Here is a 15,038-nt window from a genome sequence, read left to right as displayed (position 1 = left end):
AAACAACAGGAAGGGTACTCGTGAGCATCTCACAGTTAAGTCAGAAATGATCATTCACACAGGTCTGATTTCAGAAGTACAACAGCAAGATGCAGCACCATAGACACATCGGTTTCGGCTGTTAAAAGATGGATCATTTTAAAAACTGCGTTTTCCTTACTTAATTTTTGGTCAGTGAAGCTAGCAGTTGTTTGCTGAACTGTGGAAGAACTGCAAGGTCACACACATTATTCATGATAAAGCAACTGAGCTGACATGTCTGTGCTTAATTCAGAATAACCATTAGTGGGAGGCTGAGGCAGGAGAATGGCGTTAACCCGGGAGGCAGAGCTTTCAGTGAGCTGAGATTGCGCCACTGCACTCCAGCCTGGGCGACAGAGAGAGAGAAAAAAAAAAATAGAATAACCAGTAGGAGAGAGAGAAAATACAAGGAGTTAACGACCATCGCCGGTGCTCTCTCAAAGGAAGAGGGGTTAACAGATGAATTTACAAAGGTATGCAGATCTATACAGAACACTGAATGCCATGTGTAAATCCTCATGAAACTCCAGAAACGGGAACACCACACAATGTATATACTTTGATTTACACATTCCGTTACAAAGGAAAAAAAGACACCATTACAACTTTGTAACTGTGTTAACTGCAATATAAACCAAGTCCAGAGTTTGGCAGGTAACTAAAAGAGGGTTATCACCTAGGTTATATGGCGAAAGTGTTGATGTATATTACATATAGTAGCATAATTAATAAAAAAGTATTATTTAAATTAGATCACAGTGCTGCATTATGTGCATAACAGTGTTTGATATAGTATTGGTGGGCTGGGACCTGCAACACTAAGGACTTAACTGTCAACACTGGGAAGTCATAATCAAGAGGAAACACAGAGTTCCATGTTTTCTTTTGGTGGCAAAAAAAATCCTGAAGATTAAAGAAAAGTACTTCTCTACAGAAACATAAAAATCAGTTGCAACATCTGGGCAGCTGTGATCCACCAGAAAGAAACGAGTCCCAACCTGAATTAAAGGGAAAGAGAAATCACATGGAATTTAATCCAATCTCATCTAGAAAAGCTTCCCATTGGTCGGGCGCGGTGGCTCACGCCTTTAATCCCAGCACTTTCGGAGGCCGAGGCGGGCGGATCACGAGGTCAGGAAATCGAGACCATCCTGGCTAACAAGGTGAAACCCTGTCTCTACTAAAAATACAAAAAATTAGCTGGGCGTGGTGGCGGGCGCCTGTAGTCCCAGCTACTCAGGAGGCTGAGGCAGGAGAATGGCGTGAACTCGGGGAGCGGAGCTTGCAGTGAGCCGAGATCACACCACTGCACTCCAGCCTGGGAGACAGAGCGAGACTCTGTATAAAAAAAAAAAAAAAGAAAAGAAAAAAAAAGAAAAGCTTCCCATAAATTGGAGTCACTTGTACGTAACTCCAATTCCTTCTCCAGGAGCCCTTCTAGGAGAGGTGCAAGGCCCCCCACACAGTGGAATGAGTGGAACCTGCGTCAGTAGCCCTTGGCCGGGGCAGTCCTGGCGTGGTGCAGGACTCGGAGCTGGGCACAGAAGGCGTCCACCTGGTTCTCACTCTACAGAGCCCACTACCTGATGCTGTCCCTCAGGCAGGAGCCTCCTTCAACACAACGGCCCCTCCCAGAAGTCTCTGTGGTAGTAACTGCTGTGGCCAGCGAGCACCAGACACATTGAATGCCTCTGCAAAACAAAACAAAACTCCATTCTTGGGAAAGGCCTCTGGCACATTCCTTCTTAAAAACTCCCAAGATTGAGACCTGCCACAATCGTTTTGGCCATGGTTTTCTCCAACCACCAGTGATATGGGTTTGGTTCATTTTAGTTTCAGATAGCTGGCTTCACCAAAGAACTCTTGAAAGAATACTGATTAGAGAGGAGCAGGGAAGTAGGAGCTTGTGGTATATTATAAAGCTGGGAAAAATCTATGATGCAAACCCTTTCCACATAGCACTAGATAAAGGTAAAAGACAATTATAATAGAATAAAAATAACTGTCTATGTGTATATCATTTAAGAAAAAAAGAGTGACTGTCTCTTTCTCTTAAATGTGTCCGAGGGCCAACAGCAAGTAATCGTAGATGTCGTGGTGTTGATGTGTTCACGGTTGGTTTCCAAAGCATCTTTAAATATTGCTACAGTTCCCCGTTTCCCCCTCCCCCCTGCCTCGTGTGAGTATGTGAGATACTGAATGACACATGAACTGCCACTTCTCCCAGCAGGAGAAATGAAAGCAAAAACACCACACCTCTTAGTGGTGTTCAGGTGATCTGTCAGACTAATGGATACATATGCTAGTTTGGAAGCTGAAAGAACACCTGACGTTTGGGAAGGAATTCCAAGACTCAGGTGAATGGCACTTAAGCAAAATATTCTTTCACAAATAGGCTTGTGCTTAAATTATCTACTGCTCTTGGAGAAGAGAATAAGAATAAGAGAGGGTGCCTCCTGCCCCTTAGCTTGTTAAGGACGCGGACAACCTCATTCTGCAATGAATTCACTACAAACAGCCACATACACATCGATACTTTTTGTTTTTGTTTTCAACAATCAAAATACAAAGTTAAACACAATTGAGCCATTGTTTTGGTTATGCATAATGTGCATGCCTCCAAAAACAGAAGAAAAATAGGAAGAAGTACCCTCACTAAAGGTTCCCTGACAAGTCTTCCGGCAGATCCAATGAAGGGAGACTCAGGAAAATCACAATTAGAAAGCCACCCAATGAGGTATTTATGCAAAAAGAGTGGTTCTGGAGTTAAGAACACACTTTTATATTTCTCTGTTTCTCAAAGAGATCAGAAAAGTAAATCACATAAATTGCATTTTATTATTTTTTAAAAGAGCCTCTGCCTCTTTAGAAAAATGAAATGAGGGGAGACAGCCCACAGTGGGGATTTAAATTGGAAGAAGTCCTCGGCCAGAAACAGTCCCGAATGTTTAACCTCTGCCTTTCAGGAGAGAGGTCTGAATTTTATCATGTGGGGGGTGGGATGAAGGTGGGGGACTGAGCTGGAGGTCTTTAGGCTTGGTCAGGTGACAACACAAATCAAGGTGTCGCTCAGGCTCCACAGCTGTGGATGGCTTTCAGGGTGTCAGATGTCTGGGAAGATGGAGGGAACATAGCACTGCAAAGATACTTTATTCCCATCTACACCCTGAACAAATATGCTGGAAGTATTCAGTTTCAGGTCATGAATTCGACCTGCTGTAGAGGAGTAGGTTTTTTCAGGTTCTGTCATCAGCAACCCACCAATGCCCCATCTTTAATAGGTGAGGTTCCAATAAAGGTTCTGTCTGCTCCCTTCCAGCCCTGACAGCCCAGGCCTATAAGCTGACACCCAGAGAAGGTAAAGAACTTGCTGTCCCTGCACAGTGAGGCAATGGTGTGAGTACTTGAACTTCTGCATCTTAAATCAGTTACTGCTTCTCTGCTTTACCCTGGAGTGTTTCCTTTACAGCTCAATAAATATTTCATCAGTGGTGACTCAGTATAATCACCATCCCCCATGCCATCCCAGGCAGCTTACAACCTAGAGACTGTCACTGCTCTTTGACATATTCTGTCACTTTGCCTCCCCAGGTCACCATCCTCTCACTCGCCTCTGACTTTTCGCACAGGAGAGAGCTGGTCGAATAGTACAATTCCCCGATGTGAATGGGGAGAAGCTGGGGAAAGGAAGAATGATCTTCAGGCAGTAAGGGTAAGAGGAGCCACTTTTCCCATCTGAGTAAATACCGAGAGAAGATGAATGTGAGGCTCTTGGAGATTAGCTGTCTGCTGGGAGAGAAACACCTTCATTGATTAAATACAAAATCTGTTCTGGAAAACATGGTCGTTGGAATAGTTCTTAGCAGATCCTTGCACCGGGCTTGTAAAAGCTAAACAGCCTTCTGCTCCCAACCTATCCCTCCCACTTGGGGGATTTGGAGAAAGGGCTAGGGAGAGAGAGAGGAAGAAGTGGTGCCCAGGATGCCACAGGGAGAGGAGAATGAGCTAAAGGTAGAGAGTGTGAGGATATGGTCAGAGGGTTATGCCCCTGACAGTCTTGGGCTGGCAAATGCAAGGACCTTTGGGGGACAGTGCAGGGGCTGACGAGGCAGGCTTGAGGATGCTCTGGTCACGTGGATACTAGGGCCAGAGTCCTCTTGGCTCAGGCACTGTGTAAGGAAAGAAATGTAACTTCCTTATTGCCTGTCCACTCTCCCTCAAAACAAACACTCTTTTCTGTTTAAATAGTAGGAGACCACCCTCTCCGCAGGAGATAGCTAAAAAAGAAAAAATAAATATATAATAGGAGACAATATCTTGAGAAGGTGGAAATGAGACCCTCCCCCGCCCCAGGGGAAAGTGATAGGAAAGCTCAGCTAGAAAGCTCCCGAGAGAAAGTGATAGAAAACAGCCTGGACCAGGGCCAGAGAGGAGCAGGAGGAGAGAAGATCCATCAGTGTTCGTGTCCTAGTGGGAAAGGAGGAATGTACTGACAGCTGGGATGTGATGGCAGACTGGTCTAAGGGTAGGGCCTGCGGGGAGAAGCTGCTAGCAGAGGGCATATGGGGTGAAGGGAATAGGGGGAGCAGAGCTTCAGGTAAAGGAGGAAGAGGTACTGTTTCTCCATTTCCCTCTGGGCTTTTGCTATTTAATTGAGTAATTCCTGGCCCCAGGGCAACTCTGAGAATTTCTCTGGCTTGCAGTAGAGTTGTCACTTTATTACCTTCAGATTCTGTTTGGAGTTTTTCCTTCTGAATTTCCTCAAATGGCCCAGCTTTGCCTTGCCATTTTGGTGGGTTTTATTTTCTCTGCCATCTAATGTCCCAGGGGTCTCCAGACAAGCACACCTTTCTGAAAGCCTCTGGGGGGTGCCTTTCTCTGAAAGCCTGGGCCAGGCCTGGGAAGACTCACCCACAGGCTGAGATTTGAGACCTTGTCCCCCACCCCTATGACCTTCCTAAAACACAAAACTCCCAGGCAGTGTCTGAAATGCCTCGACATGAAGGGAGCTAATAGTAATTTCTCAGAAGAACATAGGCTCTTCTTTAGTCCTTGGATTTAAAGCGCAGATTCCAAGGAGGATAAATTGTCTTGCCAGGCTGGGTAAATCTGTTGTCAGGCAGCTTTTCTCCACTAAAAAAGAGATTAATCTGATTACACCTATAGTCACCTGGAACTGTTCCATCTCTGAAATCTTTTTTTTTTTTTTTTTACAACTTCTTGTCCAACAGACACCTCTAAAATCTTAATTTTAAATATACCACCCTCAGGATATAAATCTGTTCATTCAGCTTTTCCCCAAACCTGTCATTCTTCCTCAAGACCTTCAGCCCTAGACCTCTCTGAGTCTACCAGTTCCTCCTGATGTCCCTTCCTTTCCTGCCTGGGTCCCTACTCAATGGTTGACCATTTGACCTAACCTTCACCAGCCCCTTGTATTCTGACTCTGTGTTAGTTTTCTGGGGCTGCCATAACAAAGTACCACAAGTTCAAGGGCTTAAAACAATGGGAAATGTATTCTCTCATAGTTCCAGAAGCCAAAAGTCCAAAATGAAGGTGTTGGTGGGGCCATGCTCTCTGTGACGGCACTGGGGGAGAACTCTTCCTTACCTGTTCCCGCTGCTGGTGGCTCCTGGCCTTCCTTGGCTTGTGGCAGCACAGCTCCAATCTCTGCTTCCTTCTTCACATGGCCTTCCTCCCTGTGTGTCTGTGTCCTTTCCTGTCTCTTATAATGACACCTATCATTGGATTTAGGACCCACCCTAATTCAGTATGATCTCATTTCACATCTGCAAAGACCCTGTTTCCAAATGAGGTCACATTTCAAGGTTCTGGGTAGACATGAATTTTGGGGAGACACTATTCAACCCGCTGTAGCCCCATTTTTCCTTCTATTGCGTTCCAAATTCCCCAAGCTTAGCTCAGGCCCACAGTTGGGCATCTATCTTCCTTTTGGCCTTGGGGCAGCTGAGCTCTGTTCTTGGCTCCTCCTGCTCTTTGCTGGTTTCAGTGCTTCTCAGCAAGAGTGCCTCCTACAGCCTCTTCTTTCTTTTCCCTCGGGAAGTAGCACCCCAGAGATGGCTGAGGTCTGGGGCAGGAACTCCTCCAAATTCAAACCTTAAGGCCAGGCACAGTGGCTCATACCTATAATCCCAGCAATTTGGGAGGCCAAGGCAGGAGGATCCCTTGAGCCCAGGAGTTTGAGACCAGCCTGAGTGACATGGTGAAACCCCATCTCTACAAAGAATACAAAAATTAGCTGGGCATGGTGGCTAATTTTTGTATTCTTGGCGCACCTGTGGTCCCAGCTAGTCAGGAGGCTGAGGTGTGAGGATTGCTTGAGCCAGGAGGCAGAGGTTGCAGTGAGCCAAGATCGTGTCACTGCACCCCAGCCTGGGCAACAGAGTGAGACCCTGTCTCAAAAAAAAAAAAAAAAATCCCATCTTAAGACCCCTACAGATGTACCATTAGTTTCACCTTTTCCCCCCTTTCCCATCCCATTGAAGGCCATGTGTTTCTGCTCTTCTTGGAGGCTATTCAGGCCCTCACAGCACTTGCCTGGTATACAGCAAATTATCCTGACTGTGTTTATCTGCTTCCATATGCACCCTACTCTTATGACTCTCATACCACTCTTCTGCTTAAAACCATTCATTCATTCACTCTTTCATTCATTCATGTGTTTGTTGCATATATATTGAGTGTCTGCTATGTTAGTACTCTGGCCTCATCTCCCACAACCAATGAGATCATTGACTTTTCAGAACTTACAGCATAGAAAGTTTTCCATGGCGGTCCTATAGGATTTCCATTCTAAAGTTTACATTCTTTAGGGTGGTGGATAACCCCCTTAACCTGGCCCTAACCTACCTCTGACTTCTGTCTCCCATTGCTCCCATCTCTAGCCCAGCCAAACTATTACTCAAGCCAGGCTCTTACACTTCTGTGCTGTGGTGCTTTCAGTCTAGTTGAAATGTCTCTGCCTTTTGCCTGCCTGGAAAATCCCTAGTTGTCTTCAATATTTAGTTCCAATGTTACCACCTCCTAGGAGCCTTCCTTGACAATCCTGTCCTGGACTCTGTCTTTTTTGCCACATAAATCTCTTATTGTGTGAATCATGCTGCCTTGCAATGATTTGTTTACATGTCTGTCTCTCTTTTCCCTTGAAGTTAAGGACAATAATTTATTCATTTTATATTCTCTATATCTGGCATAATGTAGATGTTTAATAAAGTTTAAGTGCTTAATAAAAGAAGTGGTGGAAGACCTCAATTCATCTGAGAGCAGAATCTGCCTAGAAGAGTTGGAACTTCTCCACCCTGCTCCATCCTCTGTACCTGACCTGTGTGTTCTGGGCTCCCCACGGCCAAGGAGCATCAATGGGCTAACAGAGTGTAATGGGCTGAATTGTGTTGGCCCCAAACTCAAATTTTGAAGTCCCACCCCTCCCTCATTCTATGGCCTTGTTTGGAAATGGGGTTGTTGCGATGTAATTAGTTGAGATAAGGTCTTATTATATTTGGGTAGGCCCCTACTCCAGTATGATTGGTGTCCTTATAAAAAGGAGAAATTGGACACAGACACCCTACCAAGAAGAACACTATGTGAAGATGAAGGCAGAGATCAGGGTGATGCCTCTACTTGCTGAGAAACTCCTACAGTTGCCAGCCCACCACTAGAAGCAAAGGAAGAAGCACAGCCCTCAGAAGGAACCAACCCTGCTAATGCCTTGGTCTTGGACTTGCAGCCTCCAGAACAGCGAGCCAATACATTCCTGTGGTTTAAGCCACTGACTGTGGCACTTTATTACAGCAGCACTAGGAAACTCATACAGGAGGTGACAGTGCTCAGATGAAACAGGACCTTCCACTTCCATGGCAAAGCCCTCATCTTTCGTGCCCATGCGCCATTTGATCTGCACACAAATCACTGAGCAGGTTCCTCAGCTATTATTATCCCCACCTTTCAGATGGAAAGAACTGAAGCTCAAGAGGGCCAAAGAAATTTGGCTATGGCTTTCTTTATTTTCTTTTTCATGGGCAGAAGTAGATTTCAGTTTTGGTCCCTTTCCACTACCATATCAGGTTGCCTTAAGGCAACTTTGAAAAGTCTAAAATATTAAACAGTTTGTGAAGTTATTATCATTATTCATAAAGGACAGCGCGAGGTTAGTCTTACCCTAGAGAGCCCCATTGTTGGCCCAAAGCATCTTGCCAGGAGCCCTATAGGACCATGTTTTCAAGGCCCCCAAAGAGCACAGGGCTATTGGTCCATCCCAGCTCCTGGAATGGCTCATTGTACCCACCCTGCCTCCAGCTGAGGAGCCAGGGAGAAGCACTGACCCCTGATCTTGCTATCCCTTCCATTACACTCTTGCCAGAGGAGCTTTTTTCAGGGGTGGCCGCTTCCCTCTCCTCAAGAGAATTCTGGGGACCAACCAGCTCAGGCCTGCTGTTGGCCTCAGGGTCACATCTCACCCAGACACCCCCACCATTCCCTCAGGTCTAGGGATGCTGCTCCCCTACCATGGGATCTTCTTTTTATTTTTATTTATTTATATTTTCCTTATGCCTAGTGTAAAGGGATTTCTTTTCTTTTTTGTTTTTGTTTTTTTTTTGAGATGGAGTCTTGCTCTGTCACCCAGGCTGGAGTGCAGTGCAGTGGCGCTATCTCGGCTCACTGCAACCTCCACCTCCTGGGTTCAAGTGATTCTCCTGCCTCAGCCTCCCAGGAGCTGGGATTACAGGTGTGCCACCACATTTGGCTAATTTTTTTACTTTTAGTAGAGATGGGGTTTCACCATGTTGGCCAGGCTAGTCTCGATCTCCTGACCTCAGGTGATCCACCCGCCTCAGCCTCCCAGAATGCTGGGATTACAGGCATGAGCCACCGCTCCCAGCCAGGATCTTCTTTTTAAAGCTATCACCACCCACTCTCATTCCCCAGGACTCTCCTCACCCCTCCGGCTGCAAAGGCAGCTGGTGTCCCTACTGGCTCCTTCCTTTCTGCCCCTAAAGACAGGCACACAGGTGATTTTCCTTTTAAGTGTTTTTCTGTGGATTACTGCGGGGAAATTGACAGGGGCTACAGGGGCTGATAAAAGGAATAATCTTTGATATTCTTTCAGTTGGGTCGCTGATTTTCTTGCTGGGCTGACAAGAGCAATCTTCCCTACTTGGAATCTTGGTTTTATTCCTTAGCATGGGCCTTATCAAACCTACTTTTTAATGAAGGGAGAATGAAGAAGCCATTGAAGCAGACCTCTAGCTGCCAGTCAGGTCTGCTCTGAAGGCTGCCTATCTGCGGGGACATGTGACTTCTGGGGCTTTCCAGATTAAGTAATGCTCACCCCACATGTCTGAAATTCTCCAAACACTATTCCGGCCCTGCTGTGATTCTTAGAGCAGAGGTTCTTTGCCTTTTTAGTGTAATGGATCCCTCAGCAACTTGGTGAGCCCTTCTCAGAATAAAGTTTCTAATGCAGAAAGTAAAACACATGGGATAATAAGGGAAGTCATGTCCTTTGAAATCCTTATCAAAAATATTTTTCAAATTTTGTGATATAATAAGTTTGGTTGCTATTATATAGCATAATATAACTTCATATCTAATAGCTATTGTTATTTTGAAGTAGTGGTGAATATATATGCTATTTTGAGATGTCTAAAACAACTGTAATGTGTTACAAAAATATCCATGATTTCTATCGGTGACAAAGTCAAAAGTATCGTGAATACGTCTGTGATTTGCAAGCTACATCCAAAATGGAAGGAAATCCTAATGTTTGGTTAGTGATTGATAAAAATAAAGATGTGGGCGGGCGCGGTGGCTCACGCCTGTAATCCCAGCACTTTGGGAAGCCAAGGCGGGCAGATCATGAAGTCAGGAGATCAAGATCATCCTGGCCAGCATGGTGAAACGCCGTCTCTACTAAAAATAAAAAAATTAGCTGGGCATGGTGGCGTGTGTCTGTAGTCCCAGCTACTTGGGAGGCTGAGACAGGAGAATCACTTGAACCCAGGAGGCGGAGGTTGCTGTGAGCCGAGATCACACCGCTGCACTCCTTGGTTTCCTTGGGATAAAATGGGGATATTAATGATGATTTCACAGGGATACAAAGATCAAGGGAAATAGTCAAGTGTTATATCTTGTTCATGTATCAAAATGGGCTGTGACCTCCTTACAGTGACTATCATCAGTCAGAAGCCTCAAGGGATGCTTTCCCAGACAGAAATAGTCTTGTGAATATGCTTAATTTGTTTATTCACAAAACATTTATCAAGCACCTACTGTGTGACAAGCATGGTACTTGCAGTGAGAGAATAAATTTGCAGAGCGAGACTCCGTCTCAAAAATAAAAATAAAAATAAAAAAATAAAGACGTAATACTATTTTTCCCCCATTGAGCTCATGGGCCCAGATTAAGAGCTCCTGCCCTGGATCTGTGCATCTCAAACTTCCATGTGCTTCTGAATCATCTGGCCTCTGTTAACATGCAGATTCTGATTCAGGAGGTCTGGAGTAGGCTCAAGGCTCTGCATTCTTGACAAACTCTAGGGATGAGTTTGTCAAGCTGGCTCCTGAGATGGGCACAGTCTGGAACGTATGGTACTGGGTAATAGTCACCACCTGGAACCATGATGGGAATCTGAGAGCAAGGGCATCAGCTGCTGGGGCCCGAGGGTGGGTTGGGGCCTTAAAGTGATTCCGTGAACTTCACAAGCTTCGTGGCAGTCTTGTGGTGACAAGGCCATTCCAGCATATCTCCTGATGAGGATGCAGAGGACACTCTAACCTGGAATACATTCTCTCCACAAAGCTGAAGGGAGCCTGCAATCTTTTTAATGCTCCAATTAGAGCCTGAACACAAGACCTTTCCTTTTGTCTGGTGAAATCAGGCTGGGCCAGTTACATGAGACTTGACTAAAGGCTTAGGAATAACAGAGAAAAAATAAATGCAGGCAATAGAATATGACCATAGAACATGACTTCAAGACACCCTGCCCACTCAGCAATAGGCTTTAAAGACAATCTTTTGTCCCTTAGACAGAAGGGCTGGACCTTTAGACGTGAAGCCCAATGAGAGAGGCAGCAGTCATTGTCAGAACATCCCTGAGGGGAGTATGAATCCCTGGGTTGGACGCAGTGAGGCCCAGGTCCCCTTATATGCTGGTTTTGGAGGTCTGGGATCTTATTAAGAGAGATGGCAGGTCTCCCTGGCCCACTGCCCCTTTCCCACTTCCTGATTGCTGCTTACCTCAAAGTGGTGGATGCTGCCTTTGCACTTAACTTTCCAGGAGGCCACACCTACGTGGGGCATTCCCTCTGCTTCCTGAATTCTAGTCTGAGAATCCTCTTTGTCTCCATTATGGGCTCTTTCATCACTATTCACCCTATTGAAGGAGATACTCCTTTTACTCACCCAAACATTGTAGCCTTAAACTCACAGTCATGTTTGAATACAACACATTACATTTAATAACCATGCAAGAAAATCACACACACAGTGCAAGAGGGTCTAATCTGTACCAATCTTGATTTTGCACTTGTAATCTATCCCTCTCTGGAGTTTAGTTGAGAGCATGATCTTTGCAGCCACTCAGATCGGGGTTCTAATTATACCATATACAAGCTGTCTGACCTTAAAGAATTTGATTAGCTCAGTGTGCTAATCTGCAAAATGGGAGTAGTAAAAGTGTCTACCTCATTTGACTATTGTGTGACTTCAATAAAATGATACCTGCAATCAGTTTCCTCTCTGGCACACAATAAGTTCCCAATATTAGTTGTCAATGTACTACCCTCACCTCTCACGGTAAAGTAATTATTTCAGCATTTAAGAAAATTTATTCTCTCACTGCAAGTACCATGCTTGTCACACAGTAGGTGCTTGATAAATGTTTTGTGAATAAACAAATTAAGCATATTCACAAGACTATTTCTGTCTGGGAAAGCATCCCTTGAGGCTTCTGACTGATGACAGTCACTGTAAGGAGGTCACAGCCCATTTTGATACATGATCAAGATATAACACTTGACTATTTCCCTTGATCTTTGTATCCCTGTGAAATCATCATTAATATCCCCATTTTATCCCAAGGAAACCAAGGCTCATGGAGGCTTAGTGTTGTGCCCAAAGTAACACAGTTAGCAAGTGGTTCCATTTAGTGATGCCTCAGCAGAAGCCCAATGTGCCCTGAAATAGCATATGAAGTCTGTCTGAGATCCGGGGGCATGACTTATGATTCATAAAATAACTGTGTAGCTAGGGAGCTACAGAAAGAGATTAACAGAACCTGGGACTTCAGTCATTTTCAAGAAAGTACAACAGCTAAGCATTAACAATTCATAGAAAAGACCCACTCTAAATGATGCTTTGTAAATGCATAATGAAGAGACTGGGAAGTACCCAAGTCCAAAAAAAGTCGTCAGGACTAAACGTAGCTAAAGAGAGCTGGGGCCCAGTCAGTAGTCCCCAGTCTGACTGAAGGAAGCCTAGGGCAACTGAAGATCTGGGTCTGCTAGGCGTCCAGAAAAGGGGCAGTCAAATAATACAACCAGTCAGTGTGTCTCCACTTCCACTGAGAGAGACAAGTGGCTCTGGACCAGACATCGTTAATCACAATTTCCTATCCCCTGACCTAATGTCTCTTTGTTCTGAACTCAGTAAGCAATCTTCTGATTATTAGTTTTCTGGGTAAGCTTGGTACCAAAAAGGGAATACTTGGTAGGAATACTCACCATTTTACATTTACCGTGGGCTCCTTAGTGCTATGGTTTGAGTTTGACCCCACCAAAATGCATGTTGAAACTGATCCCCAATGTGGCGGTGTTGGGAAGTGGGGCCCGGTGACAGGTGGGGACAGATCTCTCATAAATGGTTGGTGGTAGTCAGCGCTTGCTCTCTGTGAGACTGAACTAGTTCTCACAGGAATGCTCCCTTGAGAGTGGGCTTTAATAGAACCAGGACACTCCTTGAAATTTACCTCTTTGCACATGTCCACTTCCCCTTTGATCTTCCACCATGTCTTAATGCAGCAAGAAAGCCCACACAGAAGCCAAGCAGATGCCAGCACCATGCTTCTTGAACCTCCCAGCCTGCAGAACCATGAGCTAAATATACCTCTTTTCTTTATAAATTACTCAGCCTTGGGTATTCTGCTATAGCAACACAAAATGAACCAAGACACTCAGTCTCTTAGAAGTTTAGTGACTGTGAGTCAATCTCTCTTAAGTCATGTCTCCCAGTTTTTTACTGGACTCAGGTTCATCAGTCTCTTAGGGATTTAGTGACTGTAAGTCAATGGTTCTTGAACCTGAACAACTACGAGCATGCTTATAAATCCAATGTCTGGAACTGCAAAGCCAAGCAAGGGCCATCCCCTGGTCCACAGCAACCCTTCGAAGAAGGTGCTTCTACCCTGGGAGACACCTCCCCACTTACCCACAGATGCCTGTAATGAGATCCCTCCATCCTCCAGCCTCTGGCCACATGCCTGCAGAGCAGAGTGGTGTTCACAGGTCACTTCAGTGGGAGCACAGTGCTTCCTCAGCAGAACTGAGAGCTGACAGGGGTGCAAAAATAACAGGCTTATTGGAAGAGAGCAACATTACAGACACTCAAGCACCCCTAAGGTAGAGGAAAAACAGAAAAGCTCTCATCTTTTTTCCTACCCATGGTCAGACATGTAAGAGCCTCGCTCCTCCCTATAGGAAGAGAAAGAAGCAGAGAGATGACAGGTGGAGTTAGATTTTCAAGGACACAGAAGGATTTGTAAACACTGGAGGCTGTCTCTCACTGAGGGAGAAGTCATCACAGGTGGGGCAGAGTCCTCCAGCTCCACTCAAGGGATGACATTTTCCTTTCATCTCTTTCTCCCCTCTGGGATCCAGGGAGTGATTGAGATAATTTACCATTTAATGTGGGCAGATGGCTTAATTAAGCTAAAGCGGAAGGCATTAACAGTGGCACTGAGTATGAGAATGACTCGGGGGTGGGACCCTGGGAGCCACCTGGCAGATGTGTCCTCCTCTGCCCTGTCTCCTGGACTGGTCCCTAGGCACTAGGGTGCAGGGTGCTCAGTGGGTAATTTGCCTGCTTGGGAATTTAGGCTCCTGGTTCCCCTGCAGCCTCTGCCAGCGCAGCCTGGGAAGGCCCCGGCTCACACATTGGGAAATGCCTCTGGTTTTGTGGCCAGTCTTCAGGTCTAGGGACAGCAGCAGCAGCAGAAGCCAGCATTGCTGGACTCTCCCTGAGGCTGGCTGGGTTCTGAGTGATCAGTCATCCATGAGATTGAAGCCAAGTCCCTGCTCTCAGAGAGATCATACTTAGGTGGGGATACCAAATTCCTGGACCTCTGCAGGCTGGGCCGGAGAGATTCTAGCCCTTCTCCTAAAATTTATAGATGAGCAAACTGAGGCCTAGACAAGGGAAGCAACTGGCTCACCATGAGCCACAGAATAGGCATGAGAGCTCAGCTCCCCAGCTCCTGAGCTGTAAGTGCAGTATGTGTGTGTGTGTGTGTGTGTGTGTGTGTGTGTGTTTTTACATATGTGGGGAGTCAGATAAAGAAAGCACAGCTCCTCTAATTCCCCTTCCCCCTTCCCGCCCCCATTGCTATCTTCCTCAGTCCATGGGTTCCTGTCAAGTCCTTTCCCATCTCTGTATTTATGTCTGAAGAGAGGAGTGGGAGCCCCCAAATAGGTAGTAAGATTTCAGATTTCACTCATTCCAAGCCTGGAGCTCCACAGCCTTTGGAAACAGGTGTAGGGTGGCCCCACATCATTTCCTGGGTGAATTCTGCTTCCACAGCTCATTAACCATATCCTGTCTGCAGCTGGCAAGTCTGGGAGGAGAAACCCACAGCAAACCACCCTCCTCTCAGTCCCCCTTCCCCGCTCCAAGCACCTTAAAATGATTGCTTTGGCCCAGAGCCAGGGAAGTGATGAAGTTTTCCAAATTATGAGGCAAGGTTTCTTGTCTCATTAGCTTCTTTACCTTGCTATCCAGAAGCCCC

The 15,038-nt window shown here is 45.7% G+C and overlaps 1 protein-coding gene and 1 long non-coding RNA gene across 3 annotated transcripts in view, besides 2 other annotated features; one reads left to right on the top strand and one right to left on the bottom strand.

Moving 5' to 3' along the window:
* RBM15-AS1 (RBM15 antisense RNA 1) overlaps nucleotides 1-9,745 on the top strand; it is a 52,797-nt gene extending 43,052 nt beyond the window's left edge. The window contains exons 3-4 of the long non-coding RNA NR_036595.1: nucleotides 3,613-3,733; nucleotides 7,549-9,745. This is a non-coding gene — a long non-coding RNA (RBM15 antisense RNA 1). The remainder of the gene's footprint in view (nucleotides 1-3,612; nucleotides 3,734-7,548) is intronic.
* Nucleotides 1,421-1,579: a silencer, noted in NCBI's record as "fragment chr1:110837163-110837321 (GRCh37/hg19 assembly coordinates)". NCBI's record gives its function as "represses an EF-1alpha promoter that drives an FKBP-Casp9 reporter gene in an ReSE screen in HepG2 liver carcinoma cells {active_cell/tissue: HepG2}" and the evidence as "EXISTENCE:reporter gene assay evidence [ECO:0000049][PMID:32094911]".
* Nucleotides 9,261-9,310: an enhancer, noted in NCBI's record as "active region_1466". NCBI's record gives its function as "activates an Ori minimal core promoter by ATAC-STARR-seq in GM12878 lymphoblastoid cells {active_cell/tissue: GM12878}" and the evidence as "EXISTENCE:reporter gene assay evidence [ECO:0000049][PMID:35858748]".
* A 2,294-nt stretch (nucleotides 9,746-12,039) lies between the features above and the next one.
* The window catches only part of KCNC4 (potassium voltage-gated channel subfamily C member 4), a 73,767-nt gene continuing 70,768 nt past the window's right edge, over nucleotides 12,040-15,038 (bottom strand). The window contains exon 3 of one of the 2 annotated variants that reach the window (XM_047419679.1): nucleotides 12,040-13,586. In XM_047419679.1, coding sequence (XP_047275635.1) covers nucleotides 13,308-13,586 — 279 coding nt within the window. In that variant the 3' untranslated portion in view covers nucleotides 12,040-13,307. The remainder of the gene's footprint in view (nucleotides 13,587-15,038) is intronic. The other variant, XM_006710625.5, reaches the window with a different exon arrangement.

Source organism: Homo sapiens, chromosome 1 (assembly GCF_000001405.40).
Source record: "Homo sapiens chromosome 1, GRCh38.p14 Primary Assembly".
NCBI classification, from domain to species: Eukaryota; Metazoa; Chordata; class Mammalia; order Primates; family Hominidae; genus Homo; species Homo sapiens.
Note: the sequence above shows the minus strand (reverse complement) of the source record. Positions and strands in the feature narration are given on the sequence as shown.